Below are 4,517 nucleotides of genomic sequence, written 5' to 3'. Positions count from 1 at the left end.
CCCTGTGTGTCCTGCCCAGCAGGTGGCCTGCCTAAGGCCTCTTGTCTTCCAGACATTCTGTTTTCAAAGAGAGCAATCCTGTTTTGCAAAAGGCCCCAAACTAGCAGAATTAGTCTCCTTTGATGCACCTATTTCGTCTAGGTTATATTTACCTAAGAAATTTTATGCACAGAAAGAAAAGAATGAAAAGGATATTCAGCTAGAGATGGGAATGAGATTTGTGTTGTCACTTCCTTTTAAGTACCTTGAAAACAAGGCTGAATGAAGAAGGATTATAGGGCAGTGAAATACTGTTTAAAATATTCCATGTCTGAATAGCATGAGACATTTATCTTGAAAGTAACAGTGAAACACTCCTTCACTGAATGCAGCTTTACCCACCCTTAATTCCTCATCAGATATATTGCTGTGAACAGTCTTCTAATAAATGATGTTGTCATGGTCATAAACCTTTTTACCATTGCTGACTTGGACGTTCTGTGCATTAGTGTAAAAATTATTTGTCACTAGAATTTTATTGTTAACATTTTTAGTAATTTTTTAGAAATAAGTCATTGCAGTTTAGTCATCTATTTTGAATTTCTATTATGGTCAATTTAGTTTTTACAGTCTAAACTCTGAACATGTTGATTTTATTCATTAGGTCCAGAAAAAAATACTATTTTTGTTATAATATTCTAACTTGCAGAGTCATGTCTGCAAGTTAGGATAAGGTATGGGTATTATTTGGATTAATTAGATTATTAGTCAACAGAAAAAAAGAGGAAAGAAGCAGTGTGGTTTGTAATTCTTCTTTTTTTTTTTTAAGTGAGATCTAGAGTTAAAAAAATTAAATTCTAGTCCCAATACAATTAGTACCAATTATATGCCATTAGAGACGTCACTTTACCTCTTTGAATGTTCTTCACTGTCCATTGACAAGCTTCTAAGATTGTAGTGTGAATCTGTAAAAACTTATTTTTAGTGTTTTCCACATAGGAGAAAGACCCAATAAAATGCTTGTTGGTGGAATGAGGTCTATGCTGTCAAGGAGCAGGTGGGAGAGGCCTCCACCTTGGTTCAAGAAGATGAGCCTGCCTGAGAATTTGGTGAGGCAAAGCCACTAAAATGCTTCTGCATGCACAACCAAGGAATCTTTCCAGAAAGAATTCCTCCTACGAGAGGGGAGAATGAGGCATCTGACCCAGGGTGAATCATCTCTCATTTGTCAGAGGAGGCAGGTTCTAAGTATATCCTGACTCTCCCATGACCTTACATCTAAATCCTAACAAAACAATGGGCTACGTGTGAAAAACTGATCAAAAAACAAACAGAAAAAAACATAAGAAATTCTTGTAAAATGTTTGGAGATTAAATGGTGGTTTCAGTGAAATAGGTACAACATATTTTCAATTATGGAGAAGGAGGCATTTTCCCCAACTCTGCATAGAAAGTATCACAGTGTCAATGCATGGAAGGCTCTGGCAATAAGTGGGGGCTTAGTGCACCCAAGGTTCTTCTTCCCCAGTAGCAGCAATGGAGGTGAGCCTCAGCCCCATGAGAACACAGTTCCCTCAGCACAGACATCAAGTTCTCATGGTGGACCCTGACAGCATTGACACCCTCAGACCAGTTTAGACTCACAAACAAAACACTTCAGGCAAGTGGACATAGAAATAGCATTGGTAATAGAATATGCTATATAATGTAGTTTCTCAAGTGTTTATTAATTCAGAGTATCAGAGAATCAGGCCAGGCAGGGGGTTTGGTGAGGCGTATTCTACCTCAATGGAGCAAGCATGTTTGATATTTCTGTTTCTCAACTTTATTCTATGGAGCATTAATTTCCCACAAGATATTATTAGGTGCTCTATAAGGAAAATAAAAGCTCTGAATTCACAATACACATTAGCATATGTCAACTCTAAGATGTTTGAGGTAAAGAAACTTGTTCAAGTCAGTTTGCCACAGTGATTACTAAAATTACTTCTCAATGGACTGCTCCCTTCCCCGCCTTTTAAAACCTGTTTTATTATCATCTTACAGAAGAAGAATGTTTTGGGGGAAAACAAAGCTTGGGAACCATTCCTCAGGAATAATTCCTTCTGGAGGGAGGGCTGAGCTAGCACTGCATCTCTGAAGAAAACAGAATGATTTCCCAAATTGACAGAGAGAAATGGGTGCAATTCATTCATTGCCCACTAGCAAGCATCAAGTATGGCTTATCTGGCAGGTATGGATTTTGCCATGTTTGAAGTGAATAAGGAAGAAAGTACTCATCAAGAACTTACAAATAAAACTGAAAGAAAGGAAAAGGAAATCATCTTGAGATAAGTAAGAAGAATAAATAATTATTTACTTCGGGATAAGGAAAGTATTCTAAGAAAATGGCATTTGAGCCAGCAACCTCCGTAAAATAAGAATACTAACCTTTAGAGAATACTAACAGGGTGGGTTTAACAGGAGTATACATTAAATAAGAAAGGACTTAAGAAAATAAAAATAAAATAGGAGAATTACAATACACAGTGAAGGTAGTGAAGAGCAAAATGAATACAACTGAAAATAAAATCATTGAATTTGAAGGCAAGTTTGAGAAACTTCCCCAGCATGTTAGGAAAGATGAGGTGGAAAAGGTTGAAATAGATGATAAACCTAAATGGCAAAAGAATGGAGAGAAAACTGAGAATTATAGCTATTCCTGAGTGGAGAAATGAGAATAATTTGAACAGAAGAAATAAAAAATAATGAAGGAAAGCTTATCTGAATGAAAAAACATAGCCTTTTAATATGTGCTCTTACCAGGCATCCTGAATTATCTCATTTAATTTCTTAAATAATCCTCTGAGCTAGTATGTATTAGTCTCATTTAGAGAGGAGAAAACTGAGCCTTAGAATGGTTAAGTACTTGTTAAACTGTTCCTAGGACTGTATGACAGAAAACAATATGTCCTTAATGACTATATACTATTTTATGCATGTATATTGAAAGAGCTTTCCATGGACTCTAGAAATAAATATTTACACCTAGAAATAGGCCAAATTTTTGTATTATTACACATAAAAGTATTAAAAGCATCCAGCAGAGCTAGTTAATTGATTATAAAGTAAAAATATCAAGCTGTCTAAGACATCTTCTATAAAACACAAAATACTGACCAGGCACAGTGGCTCACACCTGTAATCCCAGCATTTTGGGAGGCCAAGGCAGGCGGATCACCTGAGGTTGGGAGTTCAAGACCAGCCTGACCAACATGGAGAAACCCAGTCTCTACTAAAAATACAAAATTTGCCGGGCATGGTGGCACATGCCTGTAATACCAGCTATTCGGGAGGCTGAGGCGGGAGAATTCCTTGGACCCAGTAGGTGGAGGTTGCGGTGAGCCAAGATCATGCCATTGCACTCCAGCCTGGGCAATAAGAGTGAAACTCCATCCCCCGCTCCCCCAAAAAAACCACACACACAATACTGAAAAACAGATGGATGGAGCAATGACTGCCTAGTCATAAAACATATAGCACAGGTGGTCTTTCAAAATATGAGGACCTAGAGATGAATAAAAATTAAGAACTGAAGGATGTGGATGACATAATTTAATTGAAAACAGTTAACCATACTGTTAAAACTAAACAACTGTAAATCTAGCTACAAAACTAAAGGCAAAGTTTTTAAAAAGTTGAAGAAAATACGTAATTCCAAATTTAATAGTTTAGTGTATTCATCTGAATTTAAAATAGTAATATTTTTCATGTTACATGAAAGAAAGTCTAACATTAATTTTTTACAACACAGGTTCCTCAAAGGTTATAGAGCGTGGTTAAAAATGCAAGCTAGAGAGAGATTTATTAAGCAAAGGCAAAGGTTATAATAGCAATTCAGACAAAAGTGATTTCAAGGTAAAAAAACTCATTAAAAAGAAAAAAGTTATCTAATATTGATAAGAAATAACAGCTATGAAACTTTATTAGCAGGATAATATTTTATAGAGACATACAAAGTCAAAACTGTTAAAACATGAATATATCTACTAATATTGTCATGGGAACTTTGACATATATTTAAATACTTTTATGACCTACATAGGCCCAAAATAAATGAAAATATAGATCTCTTTATAATCTAATTAAGATAGCTTAATAACAGATATGCATAGGATTTAGTACATTCCAAATTGAGTAAACTATTTACTGAGGTCCTATGGTATATTTACAAATGTTATTTTGTCATAAAAGATCTCAATTAATGCTTAAATGTTGAAAATATATATACTACATTTTCAAGTAATACTGAAAAAAATCAAAAAGTTAAACATAAAATATCCACAACAACAACATAAGAGCCAACATACATAGACTGGAAAATAGTCCCTAACTTACTTTTGTGTCAGTGAGGTACATAAAATTGCAGCTAAAGAACATTTACACACTCAGGTTAGAGTGCTACATATCAAACCTATGGGTTGCCCTGAAGCCATGGGCAGAGAAGAAATCATAACTGTAAATGTGTTGGCCATTAAAGAAGCCTTTGAGCAGGCAAC

This window comes from Homo sapiens, chromosome 4 (genome assembly GCF_000001405.40).
Source record: "Homo sapiens chromosome 4, GRCh38.p14 Primary Assembly".
NCBI lineage: Eukaryota > Metazoa > Chordata > Mammalia > Primates > Hominidae > Homo > Homo sapiens.
This window is presented reverse-complemented; position numbering follows the sequence as displayed.